The sequence below is a fragment of the Homo sapiens genome, chromosome 1 (assembly GCF_000001405.40).
Source record: "Homo sapiens chromosome 1, GRCh38.p14 Primary Assembly".
In the NCBI taxonomy this organism is placed as follows: domain Eukaryota; kingdom Metazoa; phylum Chordata; class Mammalia; order Primates; family Hominidae; genus Homo; species Homo sapiens.
The window spans coordinates 185,619,196-185,638,830 of NC_000001.11; the positions used below are offsets into that span (position 1 = coordinate 185,619,196).

The following is a 19,635-nucleotide window of genomic DNA, read 5'->3' on the forward strand; positions in this document are numbered from 1 at the left end:
GTTGCAGGGTATAAGATTGATATACAAAAGCCAGTTACTTTCTTATAAATTAGCAATGAACAAATGGAATTGAAATTAAAAATGTAATGCCATTTATATTGGTACCCCACAAAATAAAATACTTAGATATAAATTTAACAAAATATTTGCAAGATTTATAGTAGAAAACTACAAAACTCTGATGAAAGGAGTCAGAGAACTAAATAGATGGAGGGATATTTCATGTTCATTGATAGAAAGATTCAATGTTGTCAAGATTTCAGTTCTAGACTGGGCTCAGTGCTCATGCCTATAATGCCACCACTTTGGGAAGCAAAGCCAAAGTGGGAGGATCACTTGAGGAGAGGGTTTGAGACAATCCCGGGCAAATAGCAAGCCTCCATTTCTACAAAAAATAAAATAACTAGCTGGGCATGGTGGCACATGCCTGTAATTGGAGCTACTCAGGAGGCTAAGGCAGGAGGATAGCTTAAGCTATATTACAGACACACACACACACACACACACACACACACAGACATACATATATATATGAATCTATAGATCAAGTTGGGAAGAACTGGAATCTTCATATATATACACATATAGTACATACACATACTCTGTATGATACTATAATGGTATATACATTTGTACAAACCCACAAAATGCACAACACCAAGAGTGAGTGAACCCGAATGTAAACTACAAACTTTTAGGTGATGATGGTGTGTCAGTGTAGGTTCATCAGTTGTAACAATTGTGTTACTCTGATGGGGGATGTTGGTCATAGAGGAAGTATGCATCTGTCTTAGTCCATTGTGCATTGCTATAAAGAAATGTGTGTATATATATATGGAATCTTCATATATGTGTATATATATATATACACATATATGAAGATTCCATATATATATACACACACATATGTGTGTATATATGTGTGTATATATGTGTTTTGCTCTTTTGTCAGAGATCAGTTAACTATATTTATGTGGGTCAAATTCTAGGCTCTCTATTCTGTTCCACTGATCTATGTGTCTATTCTTTAGCCAAACATATACACATATATATGTGTGTATACATATACATATACATATACATATATATGTGTGTATACATATACATATACATATATATGTGTGTATACATATACATATATATGTGTGTATACATATACATATATATGTGTGTATACATATACATATATGTGTGTATATATAAAGATTCCAATTCTTCCCAACTTGATCTATAGAGTCAATGCAATCCCAATCAAAATCCCAGTATGTTATTCTGTGAATATTGACAGACTGATTTTAAAGTTTATTTTAAGAGGGAAAAGGCCCAGAATAGCCAAAGAGCTACTTTAATATTCAAGAAGAATTAAAGTGGAGGACTGGCTCTACAATTTTTGAAGACTTACTGTAAAGCTAGAGTAATCAAGACAATGTACTATTGGCTAAACAATAGACACATAGATCAGTGGAATAGAATAGAGAGCCTAGAATCTGACCAACGTAAATATAGTTAACTGATCTCTGACAAAAGAGCAAAGGCAATTCAATGGAGTAAACGTAGTCTTTTCAACAAATGGCACTGAAACAACTGGACATCCACATGCAAGAAAAATGAATCTAGACACAAGCTTTACACCTTTCACAAAAACTCAGAATGAATCACAGACCTAAATGTAAAATGCACAACTAAAAAACTATTAGAAGATAACATAGGAGAAAATCTAGATGACCTTGGGGTTGGAGATGACTTTTTAGATACAAGACCAAAGGCATGATCCATGAAAGAAAGACTTGATAAGCTGGACTTCCTTAAAATTAAAAATTTCTATACTGTGAAAGACACTGTCAAGAGAATGGGAAGACAAGCCACAGATGGAGAGAAAATATTTGCAAAAAACAGCTGATAAAGGAGTGCTATCCAACACATACAAAGAACTCTTGAAACTCAAAAATAAGGAAACAAAAACTTGATCAAAAAAATACCAAAGCTGTCAACAGACACTTCACCAAAGAAGATAAATAGATGGCAAATAAGCATATGAAAAGATGCTCCGTATCATACAGTATTAGGAAAATGTGAATTAGACCAACAATGAGGTACCATATACACCTATTAGAACAGCCAAAACCTAGAACACTGAGAACACCAAATACTAGTGAAGATGTAGAGTAACAGGAACTCTCATTCTTTGCTCTTAAGAATGTCAAATGGTACAGCCACTTTGGAAGATAATTTGGCAGTCTCTTATAAAACTAAACATAGTCTTACCATATGATCCAGCAATCTTGCTCCTTGGTATTTGCCCAAAGGAGTCAAAAAACATGTCCGCATAAAAACCTGCAAAGTCTATATACCGTATGATTTCAACTGTACGGCATTCTGGAAAAGACAAAACTGTGATAACAGTAAAAAGATCAGTGGTTGCCAGGGCTTAGTGGGAGAGAGGAAGGCATGAACAGGCAGAGAACAGAGAATTTAAAAATCAGTGAAATTATTCTGTATGATACTATAATAGTATATACATTTGTCCAAACCCACAGAATGCACAATACCAAGAGTGACTGAACCCTAATGTAAACTGCAAACTTTTAGGTGATGATGGTGTGTCAGTGTAGGTTTATCAGTTGTAACAATGGTGTCACTCTGATGGGGGATGTTGGTCATAGAGGACGTATGCATCTGTCTTAGTCCATTGTGCATTGCTATAAAGAAATACCAGAGGCTGAGTAATTTATAAAGGAAAGAGGTTTATTTGGCTCATTGTTCTGCAGACTATACAAGAAGCATGGCACCAGCATCTGCTTCTAGTGAAGGTTCAGGAAGCTTTTACTCATGGCAGAAGGCAAAAAGGGAGCAGGTGTGTCACATGGTCAGAGAGGGGGCAAGAGAGAGGAGGAGGTGCCAAGACTCCCTAACTACCAGTTCTCCTGCAAACTAATAGAGTGAGAACCCCCTTGTTACTGTGAAGAGAGTACTAAGTCATTCATGAAGGATCTTCCCCCATGACCCAAACACCTCCCACTTGGTCCATCTCCACATAGGGGTCACACTTCAGCATGAGATTTGGAGGGCCTAAGTATCCAAACCATTATCAGCATGTATGGGGAGTATATGGGAAATCTCTGTACCTTCTGCTCAACTTTGCTGTGAACCTAAAACTGCTCTAAAAAATAAAGTCTACTAAAAAAACAAAAGCAAAAGTTGACCAAAACTAACTCAAGAAGATATAGAACAGCTGAGTGGTCTTATAAATATCAAAGAAATGAAATTACACACACAAATCAGTCTAGATCATTTTAAAACTCAGCTCTTTCAAATATTCCAAGAATTTCATATTTTTATAAGATAAAAAGAAAAATCATAAAGGTATGAAATATATATACTGGTAAAAGGAACAAGGGGCTAAGGAGATATGAACCAGTAGGAATATACAGCAAACAACATGTAGTTAAAATATAGAAAACAATCACAGACAGAACTGTGTGGACAAGTAGGTAAATTAACAATTATAGTTTGAGAATTTATTATACTTACCTCAGAAATTGAAAATAATATCCATAAAATAGCAAAATATAGATCTGGTGAATATCACCAAACAACTGAAGCCAACTGATATACGTCAGCCTATATATCCATCCATTATGGTCCTGGACAGTGCAACAAGACAAAAGAAATGAAAGTATAAGAAGTAAATGGAAGAGCTGAAAATACCATTGATGGCTGGGTGCAGTGGTTCACACTTGTAATCCCAACACTTTGGGAGGCCGAGATGGGTGGATCACCTGAGATCAGGAGTTTGAGACTAGCCTGGCCAAAATGAGGAAACCCCATCTCTACTAAAAATACAAAAACTAGCAGGGCATGGTGGTGCATGCCTGTAATCCCAGTTACTTGGGAGACTGAGACAAGAGAATTGCTTGAACCTGGGAGGCGGAGGTTGCAGTGAGCTGAGACCAGGCCATTGTACTCCAGCCTGGGCGACAGAGCGAGACTCTGTCTCAAAAAAAGAAAAAAGAATACCATTGATTATAGATGATATACTCATTGATAGAAAAAAACTGAAATAATCCATAAACTATTCAAATTAATAAAGTTCTTCAAATGTATTTGATACAGAATCAAATTTTAAATTAAAATATTTATCTACAATAAAAGAAATTGACTAGATAATAGCAAATAAGATCACATTCATATTAGCCAAAAAAATTCTAAGAGATCTAGGAGACAATAGGATAAAGAATGCACAAGACGTTTATGGAGAATATTTTAGGAGAAATTTATTGAAAGATACAAAAGAAGATATTATAAGATAGTGAAGTGACATCATTTGTCTGGGGTAATACCCAAGGTTCATTGTCTCATGCCAAGGAAATCAAGGATGTGGACACACAATGGGAGTGAGGTTAAGAGCGGAGGTTCAATAGGCAAAAGAAAGAGAAAAGCTCTCTCCAAGTGGGTTTTCTGGTCTGCGGCGAAATACAAGGGGTTTTATAGATGAGCTTAAGAAGGAGTGTCTGATTTACATAGGGCACGAAAGATTGGTTGGACCAAATGTGCCATTTGCATAACATGTGAAAAACTGGTTAACCAGTCAATTTCTTTTATTGTAGATAAACATTTTAATTTAAAATTTGATTCTGTATCAGATACATTTAGAGAACTGGTTCGGACTAGGTGTGCCATTTGCAAAGCATGTGAAAATCTGGCCACCCCACCTTAATCTTTTATTATGCAGATGGGTTCTCTAACTGGCTGGTGCCATGTTGCCTCTTCCTTTACTGTACACGTGGTGACAAAGAAAAGGGAAAATGGAGCCTCCATGTTGAACATACCTGGCCCTCAGGTAGCCCTTCTCTATCGGCGCTGCTGCTGACATCCACCCGTGCAAGCTTCCAGCTTCCTTATCTATGTCTACAGCTCTATTTTTCAGGCTGCTCTTTGTTAGAAAAGAAATGATTTTGGGGGCTACTTTTTGTTAAAAGGGAAGCTCTGCCAAGGACTCTCTTACCTTCACTATCTGTCTAAATAATTTCTTTTAGCTCCTTTATCAATAGTACCGTATACCATGCTCATTTATGGGGAGCTGTAGAATTTTAAAGATGATAGCTGCTTTCGAATTAAGGAATGTATTCAAAGTCTTTTTAATAAATTTCCTGATAAAATTGTTTTGGAGCTTTTGACAAATTGATTATAAAATTATACAGAAAAATAAAGGTACATGAAAAGACAAATTTACAAAAGAAGAGAAAGAGGGATACTTTATCAGATATGAGCAATTGAAAATAAAAAGTGAGGTTTTTCATAGAAATAGAAACTGCCAATGAAAGAGAAAAGGAACTCAGAATATCTCACATATTAATATGAAGTTGGCATATGATAGAGGTGGTATCTCATCATGAGGAAAGAATAGATTATTAGTAGATGGTACTGAGGAAAACAGAATCACTAGGTAGAGAAAAATAAATTTGGATTCCTAGCTCATACCATATATGAAAATAAAGTTTAAATGAACTGAAGACCTAAAAGTGAGAGGTAAAGCTAAAATCTTATAAAGAAAATATGGAAAGATATGTTTGTGAGTTAGGATTGGAATACCTTACTTCAACAGGATCGAAATGCACTGTAAAAGGAGAAAAACATAGCTTTGACTCTAGCACAATTAGATTTCTGTTCAACAGAGGACACCATAAAATTAAAAGATAGATGACAGACTGTGGACAGTTGCAAGTTTTAGTGGGCAAGAGCAAACTTTCCCTTTGCTCTCTGAAGGTTCCCTGAAAATCAACTGACAAAAGTCCAAGATTAATAGGAGAAAAGGCATCCAAATGTATTAATGTGCATGGGCGGGGGGGAAATCACAGAGTAATTACCCACCATGCTGTGGAGTACAGATGCTTCTATATCCTTTTTCATAGGGGAAGGGGGAGATGGGGAAATACAGACAATTCTTCTGAGGGGCAGTAAACAATTATTAGGGAGAATGAATGGACCCAAGGCAGAAATTAACTTATAAATAATTCCCTTTGGAATTTGAATGAGCCTGAGAAGCAGGCATTATCTTGTGGAAAAATCCATCCAGATGTGGTTGCATTCTTCTGTCTTTTCCACTATAGGTAAGGAGGTAAGGGTGGGGTGGAGGGTGGGGGAGAGAAGGCAATTTGTGGGTGTGTGTGTGTGTGTGTGTGTGTGTGTGTGTGTGTATGAGAGAGAGAGAGAGAGAAACAGAGAGAGACAGAAAGAGGAGATTTCTTGTTTTGCTTTGCTGTTGTTCAGAAGCTTTCTTGGTCAGATAAGGAAATTCCAGAGAGTCTTTCCCTGTTTCCCTGTGCTGGGGGCGGGGGACCCAAGACAATTTTAAATTGATTCTGAGGCTTATTTCTGAGGCCTTTCAATTTTCAGAAGCACTCACCATGCCCAAGTACCATGTTTTAAAGAATCATTTTCTGCACTCCAACAAATGTCTAAGAAAGTCAAGGGATTATTACTATTTAGGGCAAACTTGTCCAACCTGTGGTCCATGGGCTGCATGTGGCCCAGGACAATTTGAATGCAGGCCAACACAAATTCATAAACTTTCCTAAAACATGAGATTTTTTGTGATTTTTTTTTTTTTTTAGCTCATCAGCTATTGTTGGTGTTAATGTATTTTATGTGTAAGCCAAAACAATTATTCTTCCAGTGTGGCCCAGGGAAGCCAAAAGATTGGACATCCTGATCTAGAGTACATGAGCAATACCTGTAAATCAATGAGAACAAGATAGAAAACAAGTAGAAAAATGGGGGAAATATATGAATTGGCAAGTCATGGAAGAGGAAACCCAAATTGTTAGCATGTGTAAAAAGAGATGAGGGCCTGGCACAGTGCCTCACACTTGAAATACCAGCATTTTGGGACGCCAAAATGGCAGGTCACTTGAGCCCAGGAATTTAAGACCAGCCTGGGCAACATGGTAAAATCTCATCTCTACAAAAAACAAAAAATTAAATGGGCATGGTGGCACACACCTGTGTTCTCAGCTACTCTGAAGGCTGAGGTGGGAGGATCACTTGAGCCCAGGAGATGGAGGTTGCAGTGAGCCGAGACTGCACCACTGCACTCCAGCCTGGGTTACAGAGTGAGACCCTGTCTCCAAAAAAAAAAGATAGATAGATAGATAGATAGATAGATAGATAGATAGATGTCAAGTTCAGTAGTAGTTATGGAACCACTCTCACTGGGTTAACAAGAATTATAAGCCAGGCTTTAGACAGAATTATAGTTAGGCATCATTCAGAGTGCACTGGTGCACTTTGACTCACTTCTCTGCAGCTGCTGAGAGTCATTTAGGATGCTGGCCACCTGGTACCTGCTCCCCCATTGTGCCTGTAGATAGAATTTCTGATGTTAGAATGATAGGAGCTTCTTGCTCAAGAGCTTACGGCGTTTTCAAATTCCAGCAGGTCTGAGGCCAACCAGTGTGAAGATCCCCCACCCACCCAGAAACAGACTTAGAACAAAAAATGTAGTTTCTTCATCTCCCTGTCCCAAGGTATCACTCTGAGCTTCTCGTCTAATCAGTGATTCCCACACTTCAACCCCAGTTAATACCTCTTAAAAACAACCCCAAAACTCTTGGGGAGACATAGTTGAAGTTTCCTCTGGTCTCCTCATTCAGCTGCCCTACAGGTATTAAACTCTGTCTCTGCTGTATCCCAAGTGTCTCAGTTTATTGACTCACTGCACATCGGGCAAATGAACCTATTATGGTTACAATTAGATAAATGATAATTTTAAAGTTCCTAATTTACACAGATCAGATTGACAATAAGTAGAAGGTTAGATGATACAAATGCTGGTTAAGAATACATTCTTGTCTAGGCATAGTGGCTCATGCCTGTGATCCCAGTACTTTGGGAGACCAAGGCAGGAGGATTGCTCAGCCCAGGAGTCAAAGACCAGGCTGGGCAACACAACAAGACTCTGTCTCTACAAAAAAAACCAAAAAATTAGCCAGGTGTGGTGGTGCATGCCTGTGGTCACAGTTACTAGGGAGGCTGAGGCAGGAGGCTGAGGTGGGGGATCGCTGGAGCCTGGGATGGTGAGGCTGGGTGAACTACGTTTGCAGCACTGTACTCCAGCCTGGGTGACAGTGTGACCTTGTCTCAAAAACAAAAGCAAAAGTAAACAACAAAAGGAATACACTTCCCAAGAGAGTCCAGACTGGCACAGCTATTTGGAAAAGCAGTCTGGCAGCATAGAGGGAAATTTGATCTGTATATACTATTTGAGCCAAAATGTACACTCCTGTTTATTTACTCCAGAGAAACCCATCATATATATTAGAATACTCAATCCATCTTTCTGGTAGCCGGCAACTAAGTGTTTATTACTAGAAAATGGATAAAGGACACACTGGAAGAATGCATTAGAATATTCCATTGCAGCCAGAAGTAATGACTTAAATAGACATGCAGCAACATGGATACATCTAAAAATTCAGTGCTGAGTGAAAAAAATAAGAAATGGAATTTGAGCAATGACGTAGTATCATTTGTCTGGATTAAAATGTATAAAGATGCAAGCAAATATTACAATTTTTTAGAGATACATATATACCTGATATATATTAAACAAAATGGAATGAGTGCCTCTGCAGGAGGAAGGAAAATGGGAATGGGGATGGGGGTGAAGAGAAAAAAATATATTAAACAAGGATGAGAGCTTCTGTGAGCCTGTGGAGATAGCATGCGATGACAAAGAAGCAGGATTAACTCAACTGTGTGCCCTTGAGGTTCAAAGAGGAATATATGAATCCAGCCTCCCTCTTTTTAGCCTTTTATCTGAATTGCTTACAGCTCCTAAGAATTTTCTGTGTTCTATCCTCTGCCATGGAAATTGGGAAACAGTTCCTATGATATGTTGATGCCTTGGCTGAATTTTAATTTTTCTAGATGGGCCTCAAGAAACAAGTAAATTTATGTATTGTGAGAAAAAAAATCTAAATGTTAATTAGCCCAAAAAGAAAAAGAGTTAAAGGGGAGAATCGCTTTATGATTGAATTCATTTGAATATCTGGCAGAAAGTAGTAAAGGTGAGTGGGGAAGGGAAAGTATGGTAATTTCCATTCAGTGACTGGTTCACTGGGGTTCAGTCTTGCTTTGAATTAAGTCTTAGGGGAGGCATATTAAGTTTCTAATCTCATTCTCAGGCCAGGGGTTAATGTCTTTCTCCTACCTTATAGTCCTGAGTTTTGGGATATCCCTGAGTTCTTCATTGATCACTGGGGCATGACCAGCCTTTCAAGAAGCCTTGGCCTTGCCTGAAAGTACTATAGCAGCAGCATCTGTGCAAATGTGGGTGGTCTTTATGATGTCAGAAGACAAGGTGAATATTCTATTTTCACAATAAAGCACCATCTTTGTTGAATCTGTGCCTGTATTGGCTAGAAGAAATCATGTGTGTAAGGGTCTCAGCACAATAACAAAAATTTCTCATACTAATTTTTAAATGCAAGGTTCTAATGTTTTGTTAATGCTCAGACCTTCTATTTCAGCTCTAAAAGCTGAAATTTCTATTTTAGCTATAAAGTCTAAGCTCACTATGCTTGAGAATTCAGCCTTTTCTGTGGCACCTCTGCAGTTTGAAAATCTCTGCTTCGTTTGGTCTGAGGAGAGAATTGCATCTTTGTTTCTCATTCTGAAATTTAGACATGCTGATTTATTTTTGTGGCTCATTTGGGGAGTTCATGTTTATTTCTTTTTTAATTGCCACTAAGAGACAAAGTATAAACTTTTGAAAAACTTCTAACACATCATAATGAAGAAGCATTAAACAATCATAATGAATCATAATGAAGAAGCATTAAACAAGAAGTTTAATGACATAATATTATTTAGCAACCATACTTATTTGTGTTGGAGGACATATACACAAATGTAAACATTATCTGCTGAGTTACAACAGTACAGAAAAAAATGAAACTTCTGGTGCTGTTCAGGATAAGCTATTTTTTTCTTCAAATATCCCATTATAAATTTTCTGTGCAGTTTTCTTTGCAGACAGAATTCTGTGCAAGATTTCAGATTTGAAATCCTTTAACCCTTAAAATGGAGTAAGAAAGCTATGTGGTAACTGTACCAAAATTGGGGAAGCAACTTGAGCTTCCAATTAGCTTAAATTGGAGAATTATAGCAAATTCAGAAAATAAAATGGAGACAATGGAAGAACCAGTTTTCAGTCAGAATATGATAAGTGTGATTTGGGGCATGCTGTGTTTAAGATTCCCGCAAAATATTTAAATGTTGCTGTGGTTGTGGTAGAGCAATTGGCTCAACAGGACAAAGTATGGAATAGAATATCTATTTGGGGGGTCATCTCTGTGGTTCACTGAGCTATTATTATATGCAAAGCAGTACTGCATATATATTAATCATCTTATAAATGGGAAACTGAGGTAAGGAAAAGTTGAATAAATTACCTAAGATCCCAGAGTTAATATAAGGCAGAGCTGAAATTCAAACCCAACTAGTTCTTGAGATGTTATGTGGTTATCAAATAACTTTCTGGAATTAAAAAAAACCTAGCAGGTCAGAACATAGAAAGGATGTGCTTTTTAGTTTCTATCAACACACATCTTATATGTGTACTTTGCCCACTATTTATAGTGAAAGCAATTTAAGTTTTGTGCCATGATGTGTTATAGTTTCAGGTGAAAGCATATTTTATTGAGCTACTAAAAGAATAAATTTGATTTAGTTGAGAAGTACAAGGGCTCCAATATAAATTCCATATAGAGTCATCCCCTGGTATCTACAACGTATTAGTCCTAGGACCCGTGAAGACACCACAATCCAAGGATGCTCATATCCCTTACATAAAATGGCATAGTACATAGTGTCACTGAACTATGGGAATTTGTTCTGAGATGCGTCCTTAGGCAATTTTGTTGTTGTGTGAATGAACATCATAGAGTATACTTACACAAATGTAGGTAGTATTTATCTACTTAAGCATATCTAAACATAGAAAAGGTACAGTAAAAATATGGTACTATAATCTTATGGGACCACCATACGATATGCGGTCTGTCCTTGACCCAAATATTGCCATGCAGGGCTTGGCTATATTTGCATGTAACCTAAGCACATCTTCCTGTGTACTTTAAATCACCTCTAGATTACGTGTAATACATAATGCAGTGTAAATGCTGTATAAATAGCTGTTATGTTGTATTATTTTTACTTTATTTTATTTTTTTAAGGCTACTCAAATGAAGCAGTGGGAGTGGAGAAAAAACAAAGAACTCTGTACTGGTTGTGATCAGTTAGTTGTAAACACCACTGCTTTCAGGCCAGCCTATTTGTATTATTTTTAATTGATGTATTCTTAATTTTTATTGTTTTAGTTTTTAAACAATATTTTGGATCCATGGTTGGTTGAATTTGTGTAGATGGGGAACATGAGGACACAAAAGCATCAACTGCAGTGGGTAATCTTGAAATGCATCATCAGAGAAATCTCCAACATTAGATTGCTGGGATGATGAAGGTAATTCTGCAATACAAACAATGTTTTCTCCACGCTGTTGACAACATTGGAGAAATTGACCTTCAACAATCTCACAAATTAATCAAATTTGCTGGATTTAGGTATTGGAGCCACATTAGCCTTTTAAACATTCTTTGGATAAGTGGATTCTTCTGTGATTGGCTAACAAATGCCACTCTTCCCATTTCCAATCTCTTACTAGAAATATTCTGAATACGGTGGACCCTAATATCTCACTTCTGCCTCTTTATCTAGAAGACCTCCTTCTGCCTCCACTAAGGACAGGAAACAAACCTCTTTGTACTTCAGCTTGTTGTTGTGTTTTGTTTTTGTTTTTTTAGTTTTCCCTTTCTTGGCACTCAAGCCAATTTGTTTTACCAGCACGTCAGTGAGAAGTTGAAGATCTGTGTTTGAGCCAATGAATTGTCAAGAGCCCTATAGTAGCTGCACAGGATGCTCAATTTTGCTTGTTTTCAGATAGGTTACAGACCTCTCAACATACAACTCTTAGGCTGGGTGATATTTGACTAAATAGATTAGAAATCAATTTAAATATTAAATCTGTTTCAACTTTAAGAAGAGTTCTTACCAATTGCTTTTCAGTAGATTTTTACAGTGATACTGCTGGCAATTTTTATATTTTGTTTGTAGAAATCTCATCATATCTGCCAAGGATTTGAGAATGTGTAGATCTTCAATAATTTATATTTTTTAAGATACAGGGTCTTGCTATTCTGCCCAGACTGGAGTGCAGTGGCTGTTCACAGACACAATCTTAGTGCACCACAGCTTAAATTCCTGGTCTCCAGTGATGCTCCTGCCTCAGCCTCCTAAGTAGCTGGAACTAGAGGTGTGCAGCACTGTGCCCAGAGGCATTTTTAATTAAATAACATTTACAGGTAAAAGCCCAATTTAAATTATGACATAAACATTAATGGAAACTAAGATCATCCATATAATAATACAAGTCAACAGGCACAAAGGCCTCTGGCCTATATAATGGTACTTGAAAAAAAATCCAGCTCAGTAGTTTCTATAACATTTATGGCTGTTTATGGTTTTTCACATGTCTAATATTTCATTTTCAAAGATTCTGATAACAAATAACTTAAGAGAAGAAGTATAATTTTTTTCTTAAAGGACCCATATGCTTTACCAAAAACCTGAATTTTTTTGAATCTCTATTAGCAGTTCTAGGAAGCACAGTAATACTACTTAAATGATAGTAACAATAGTTATTTTTAACATCTCCTAAATTCTATCTTTCCAGAGCAGTATGCCTGTCTCCCATATTTTCCGCTTCATCACCAATGCTATTCTCCATCCTAGATGTGTAGCTATGATACTATTTTTTCTCTGTTTCACTGATTTTTAATTTGGCATGTGACAGAAAGATAAATCTTGGGGCCCTCAAATCACTAAGCTAAAGGGAAAAGTCAAGCTGGGAACTGCTCAGGGCCAACCTGCCTGCCATTCTATTCAAAGTCACCCCTCTGCTCACTGAGATAAATGTATATCTGATTGTCTCCTTGGAGAGGCTAATCAGAAACTCAAAAGAATACAACCATTTGTCTCTTATCTACTTATCCTAGAAACCCCCTCCCCACTTCTAGTCTTCCTGCCTTTGCTTCCAGTTGTCCTGCCTTTCCAGACCAAACCAATGTTCATGTTGTATATGTTGCTTGATGTCTTATGTCTTCCTAGAATGTGTAAAACCAAACTGTGCTCTGACCACCTTGAGCACATGTTATCAGGACCTCGTGAGGCTATGTCACAGGCACACTTTTCTCAACCTTGGCAAAATAAACTTTTTAAATAAACTGAGACCTGTCTCAGATTTTCTGGGTTCACAGGCAATATTTATTTTTAATTTTTAAAATATCAATAATCTTAGTGTTTATCATTTACCTATTATGTACATAGTGCTGGAGTGGGTGGTGTGATTGAGAAATGTTATCTAATTGGAGATGTGATCTGACAGACCCAAACAGACACCCCTTTATCAACTGAAATGAAGCCTAAGGTTAAAGAAACAAAAGTTGTCTACAGGTTGACAGTTCAGGGCTTGGCTGGCATGGCAACTTCCTAAATTCTTATGGCTACAAGAACAAACCACACTCTTGCTAAATTACCCAACAATAGGAAATATCAGCCAAATTGTCAGAGCTTTCCTAACTCTCACTTACAACCCAAACCACTACAACTCTGATTGGACAGGGGACTGGTCTTGCGAACATTCTTTTCTAATAAGCAACTGCAGCACTTAAGCCAGTTTCAGTCCATTTATAATGGCTGTGAACAAACTGTCTTTGTGTCCTATAGTTCACCTTTTGATGCAAAAAGCCAAATTCCACCTCATTTTAATGCTAAAACCCCACCAAAAGTGAACATTGGATGTATATTACATATATGTGTCCCCATTGCACATGTGCTTGACTCCTTTAATAAATATGTTTATCTTGTTCCCTAAAGCTGCTGAGTATGTATGACTCTATTGAGTAATACAGATGCTGTGAGGCATAAAGCCCGACTTACCTGTTCCTGTTTTGAAGACAGCATTTTTGCTTCGTTCTGGAGACTATCTCTTTCTGGTCTGCAAACTGACATTGTTAATAACGCTCTCCTTTCTACTATTTAGCCACCCTGGTGGTCTTTTGGAGGATAGAGAGAAGAGCTATACCTGTCTTTATTAGTTAGGGTAGACTGTAACCAATAGAACCAAAGTGTTATGTCTCAAAAAGAGTAGAAGTTTATTTCTCCCTTGGGTAATTGTTAAGGTTATTATTGATTATTCTGGGGTGGTAGAAGCCTTCACTCATTGTAATCATTCAGGAACGCAAGCTGCTGGAAAGCCACCATCTTCAACGTGTTACTCAGGTCTTCACTGACATCATTCAGCTTTCAGGAAGGGGGAACAACATGGAAAGATACTGCTGGGAGGTTTTATGGGCCCAGCCTGGCAGTGGCATACATTACTTCCACTTTCCTTCCATTGTAAAGAACATAATCTTTTAGGTGCCTAACTGCAAGAGGGTATAGGAACCATAAAAGAAGGGAAAAATGGAGTTTGATGGACAATTAGCAGACCCTGAAAAAATGTCAGAGAGGTGAAGCAATGAGAAAATAGCAGGGGGTACGTGCCAAACAGAGAGGTGGAAATCATTAAAAAAAATTTAGGAGTTGAGAGAACATAGAAATCGGTATGGAATAAAGCCATTGGGAAGAGCATCACTCAGGAGATGGGACATGATGGGACAAAAGAGCATACATTGGATAAATGGATAAGAAAGATGACAAGTGGGGGAGGGGATGCCTTTCCCTTGTTTCTCTGTTTTTCTTCCTTTTCCTTTTTTTTAAAATTAGTCAAGTGTAGTACTGAGAAACGGGGAAAGAGTAGAACAAGGAGTTGGATCTGTAACTGACTGAATAATCAAATGAGATAACTCACTACCTTCAGACAGCTGGATCTTCCTCCTTTACAAATGGAATCGGTCTTCCCCTCACAATGTCTTTAATGCCACTGTCATAAGAAATCAGGCAACTATGTGTCTTCTATTTTTTTTTTAGACAGTGTCTCACTCTGTCACCCAGGCCGGAGTACAGAGGCAGAATCATGGCTCACTGCAGCCTCGAACTCCTGGGCTCAGGTGATCCTCTCACTTCAGCCTCCTGAGTAGCTGGGACTACAGGTGCATGCCACCACATCCAACTAATATTTCTATTTTTTGTAGAGTTTGGGTTTTACCATGTTGCTTAGGCTGGCTATATCTCTTTTTGATAATGCTTTGACCACCCTACTGAAACTGCCCTAATTTCCTCTCTTTTCCTTTCTCTTTTATTACTACACTCATGCACACACAGAAAGAGACGAACATTGACTTGGAAAAATTTGCCTTTCGTTTTTGGCATTTCTTCTCTGATCTCAACTTGACAATCTATGGCCTAATGATTAAAACACCTTAAACAACTTTCATGCATTTACATACTGGGCATGTGATATGGTTTGGCTATGTCCCCCACCAACTCTCATCCTGAATTGTAGCTCCCATAATCCCCACATGTCATGGGAGGGACCTGGTGGGAGGTAATTGAATCATGGGGGCAGGTTTCTCCTGTGCCGTTCTCCTGATAGTGAGATCTGATAGTTTTAGAAAGGGTGGTTCTTGTGCACATGCTCCCTTGCCTGCAGCCATGTAAGACATACCTTTGCTCCTCCTTTGCCTTCTGCCATGATCGTGAGGCCTCTCCAGCCATGTGGAATTGTGAGTCCACGAAACCTCTTTTTCTTTACAAATTACCCAGTCCCGGGTATGTCTTTATTGGCAGTGTGAGAACAGACTAATATAGCAAGTGTTGGAAACTGTGGGTAGAAAGGTAAATGAAACAGAATTCTTGCTCTTGAGAAACATGAAAAAGGGAAGCTAATAGATTAATTCTTGAACATCATCTAATTTGGATCCTTACTCCAATTTTGTGTGTTTTGCAAAATAGATATTATTTTTATTATTTTGTTAATGAGGAACTTGGAAATTATAACTTAACTGATTTCCGCAAGCTAGGCAATATTGTAGCTAGTGATGGAAATTTTTCCCTTGTCAGTGCTTCCCTGCTGCTGTTCCAACCCACTCAGCTTCTTTTTTATTTTCTCTAAATTGTTTTCTTGCATATTCCTGTTTATAGCTATTCCCAGTAACTAAAATAATATATCTCTTTAAGAATTTTTTTTATTTTATTCATAATTATTATTAATAAAGATGAGGTCTCATGTTGCCCAGACTGGAGTGCAGTTGTATAATCATAGCTCACTGCAGTTTCAAATTCCTAGGTTCAAGTGATTCTCCTATCTCAGCCTCATGAGTGGCTAGGACTACAGGTGCACACCATCATGCCTGACTAATTTTTTAACTTTTTGTAGAAATGCTTTGTTGCCCAGGCTGGTCTTGAGCTTCTGGCTTCAAGTAATCCTTCCACCTTGGCCTCCCAAACTGCTGGGATTACAGGCTAAAATGATGTATTTCTTGCAATCAGTTGTTATTTCTGTAAATTCACTTTAACCATACATTTTCTTATATTCTCAGCTACAATATTTCTACTTTAATTATTAAAGCAAAGGAACATACAAAAAACAATAAGCAAATTTTATAGGTAAAATATGAAGAGCAGACTTCTGGAATGAAATATATATATGTGTGTGTATATATATGTGTATAAATATATATGTGTGTGTGTGTGTGTATATATATATATATAAAAATTATGAGCTTTGTGGGAAATTCGGGAGTTGAGAATTTAGTACAGAAACATATTCTATTGCCAAAATTATGAAGTAGGAAAATTGTCCCACTCACATTCCCTCCAGTTCCTCATAACAGACATCCTTCCCTCCCTCCCTCCATTTATCCATCTATTCATTCATTGTTTTTCACAGCACAGTTATTGTGGATCTAGTATATGGTAGGTACTGTTGTGTGCTGAAAGTACGAAGACACAGGTTCTACCCTGGAGGGGGAAGGCAAATGAACCAAAAATTACAGAATATTCTTCAGCTGCCCAGAGTCCTTTGGCTTCAAGGCCAGGTCCAGGTCTGGATTCCCAAGACTGAAAACTTTATCCTGGACTTTTCCTTTCCCAGCCTATTTACTCTATCTGTAAGAGATAAATGATTTTCTCTTATATGGGACATGGAACTCATTATCTCAAGACATGTCACAAGCTAAAAATATAAACAAACAGCTTAACAAAAACAAAAGAGTTAAGATAAATTCATGTCTGATATTCATAGTTGGCTCCAAATAAAAACTAGGACACTTTGACTTCTGAAAGTTATGGCAAGAACAACCAAGGCTTTCTATGATACTTTGGAATCACTGTCACCAGGAAAATTGAGATTGTCAATTGAAGAATGAGGAGGTTCATAAAAGGAAAGGAGAGCTTTATTTCTTATAAAGGATTGTAGCCTACAGGTAGCCATTCTGACAGGCTTGGAAGTGTAGTCTATGACAGCACTGGTAACAGGCCCTTCAAGAAGGGAAAGTGTAAGACAGGAATTCATGCTGAATAGGGTAGCCAAACATACATACTCAATAAGGTAAAGGAGAAGTCATGAATATTTATGAAGGGAGAATATGCAAATGTGCAATTGAGCTTCATGCTTTTTCATGAGTAACATGTTGAAAAAATGGTGGTGTTAGCATGATCTGAGGGTGCAGTTTTCAGCCCTCTGATGTCAACAGGTGAAGCAGAAGACACAAAAACCCACACTGCACATCCTCTGTGAGTGACTCAAAACTGGTCTAGACATGGTGGTCAGTTTTTAGGAAGAGGTGCATTGTGAAACTGGTGAATTGTCATGTTGAAACTGCAAAGAGGCAGGTAGAGTCTGGTAGCAGCCTCAGATAACTGGCAGAAGATGGTAAAGAAATGAGTTGTCTGTTTCTTGTTTTCTAGAGCTGGTTTCTGCTTACTCCTTGGAAAAGAATTCTGGTTAAAGATCAATAAGGAAGGGGCATGCTAAGGCATGTCTGACCTCTCATCCCATCATGGTCGGAAACTCAGTGTTTAAGGTTTCTCTGTTGTCCCCTTGGTTGAGAGGGGGTCCTTTTAGTCAGCTGGGTGTTGGGGGGCAGTTTAGGATTTTGCTTTTATTTTTCAAAAGTAACAAGAGAAAGAAAGAAATGGAGAAATAAATATGTAAACAAGTGTACTTCATCAGGTTGGGCTTCCATACTAGGAAACTTAATTGACTTTTTTCTGGTTGTGACATGGTGACATTTTTAAAAAATGTTCCTTTTAGGGGAGAAAATTATGCAAAAAGGAAAAGAATACTTTTGAGAAAAATTGGAGGGTGGTTTATTTATTATCTGAACTATGCATAGACTTGAATAATCTTTTGATTAGAGTCTTTAGTGTCCTTCAAGAAGGGAAATAGAGGGTTGGAGCCAAGATGGCCGAATAGGAACAGCTCCAGTCTACAGCTCCCAGGGTGAGTGACGAAGAAGACAGGTGATTTCTGCATTTCCAACTGAGGTACCGGGTTCATCTCACTGGGGAGTGCCGGAGAGTGGGTGCAGCGCACCTTGCATGAGCCAAAGCAGGGTGAGGCATCGCCTCACCAGGGAAGTGCAAGGGGTCAGGGAATTCCCTTTCCTAGTCAAAGAAAGGGGTGACAGACGGCACCTGGAAAATCCAGTCACTCCCACCCTAATACTGCACTTTTCCAATGGGCTTAACAAACAGCACCCCAGGAGATTATATCCCACATCTGGCTTGGAGGGTCCTATGCCCACGGAGCCTCCCTCATTGGCTAGCACAGCAGTCTGAGATCAAACTGCAAGGCAGCAGCAAGGCTGGGGGAGGGGCGCCCGCCATTGCCAAGGCTTGACTAGGTTAACAAAGAGGCTGGGAAGCTCGAAATGGGTGGAGCCCACCACAGCTCAAGGAGGCCTGCCTGCCTCTGTAGGCTCCACCTCTGGGGGCAGGGCACAAACAAAAGGCAGCAATAACCTCTGCAGACTTAAATGTCCCTGTCTGACAGCATTGAAGAGAGTAGTGGTTCTCCCAGCACGCAGCTTGAGATCTGAGAACAGGCAGACGGCCTCCTCAAGTAGGTCCCTGACCCCCAAGTAGCCTAACTGGGAGGCACACCCCAGTAGGGGTGGACTGACACCTCACATGGCCGGGTACTCCTCTGAGACAAAATTTCCAGAAGAACGATCAGGCAGCAGCATTTGCGGTTCACCAATATCCACTGTTCTGCAGACACTGCTGCTGATACCCAGGAAAACAGGGTCTGGAGTGGACCTCCAGCAAACTCCAACAGACCTGCAGCTGAGGGTCCTGACTGTTAGAAGGAAAACTAACAAACAGAAAGGACATCTACACCAAAAACCCATCTATACATCACCATCATCAAAGACCAAAGGTAGATAAAACCACAAAGATGCGGAAAAAACAGAGCAGAAAAACCGGAAACTCTTAAAAATCAGAGCACCTCTCCTCCTCCAAAGGAACGCAGCTCCTCACCAGCAATGGAACAAAGCTGGAGGGAGAATGACTTTGACAAGTTGAGAGAAGAAGGCTTCAGAAGATCAAACTACTCCAAGCTAAAGGAG

The 19,635-nt window shown here is 38.5% G+C and overlaps 2 long non-coding RNA genes across 2 annotated transcripts in view, besides 1 other annotated feature; one reads left to right on the forward strand and one right to left on the reverse strand.

Moving 5' to 3' along the window:
* LINC01350 (long intergenic non-protein coding RNA 1350) overlaps positions 1-9,293 on the reverse strand; it is a 70,110-nt gene extending 60,817 nt beyond the window's left edge. Inside the window, exons 1-2 of the long non-coding RNA NR_110793.1 lie at positions 9,212-9,293; positions 7,297-7,360 (exon numbers count right to left, since the gene is read on the reverse strand). This is a non-coding gene — a long non-coding RNA (long intergenic non-protein coding RNA 1350). The remainder of the gene's footprint in view (positions 1-7,296; positions 7,361-9,211) is intronic.
* Positions 1-19,635, forward strand: part of LOC107985239 (uncharacterized) — a 202,893-nt gene that overhangs the window by 141,183 nt on the left and 42,075 nt on the right. The window lies entirely within an intron of this gene.
* Positions 17,988-18,037: an enhancer, noted in NCBI's record as "active region_2245". NCBI's record gives its function as "activates an Ori minimal core promoter by ATAC-STARR-seq in GM12878 lymphoblastoid cells {active_cell/tissue: GM12878}" and the evidence as "EXISTENCE:reporter gene assay evidence [ECO:0000049][PMID:35858748]".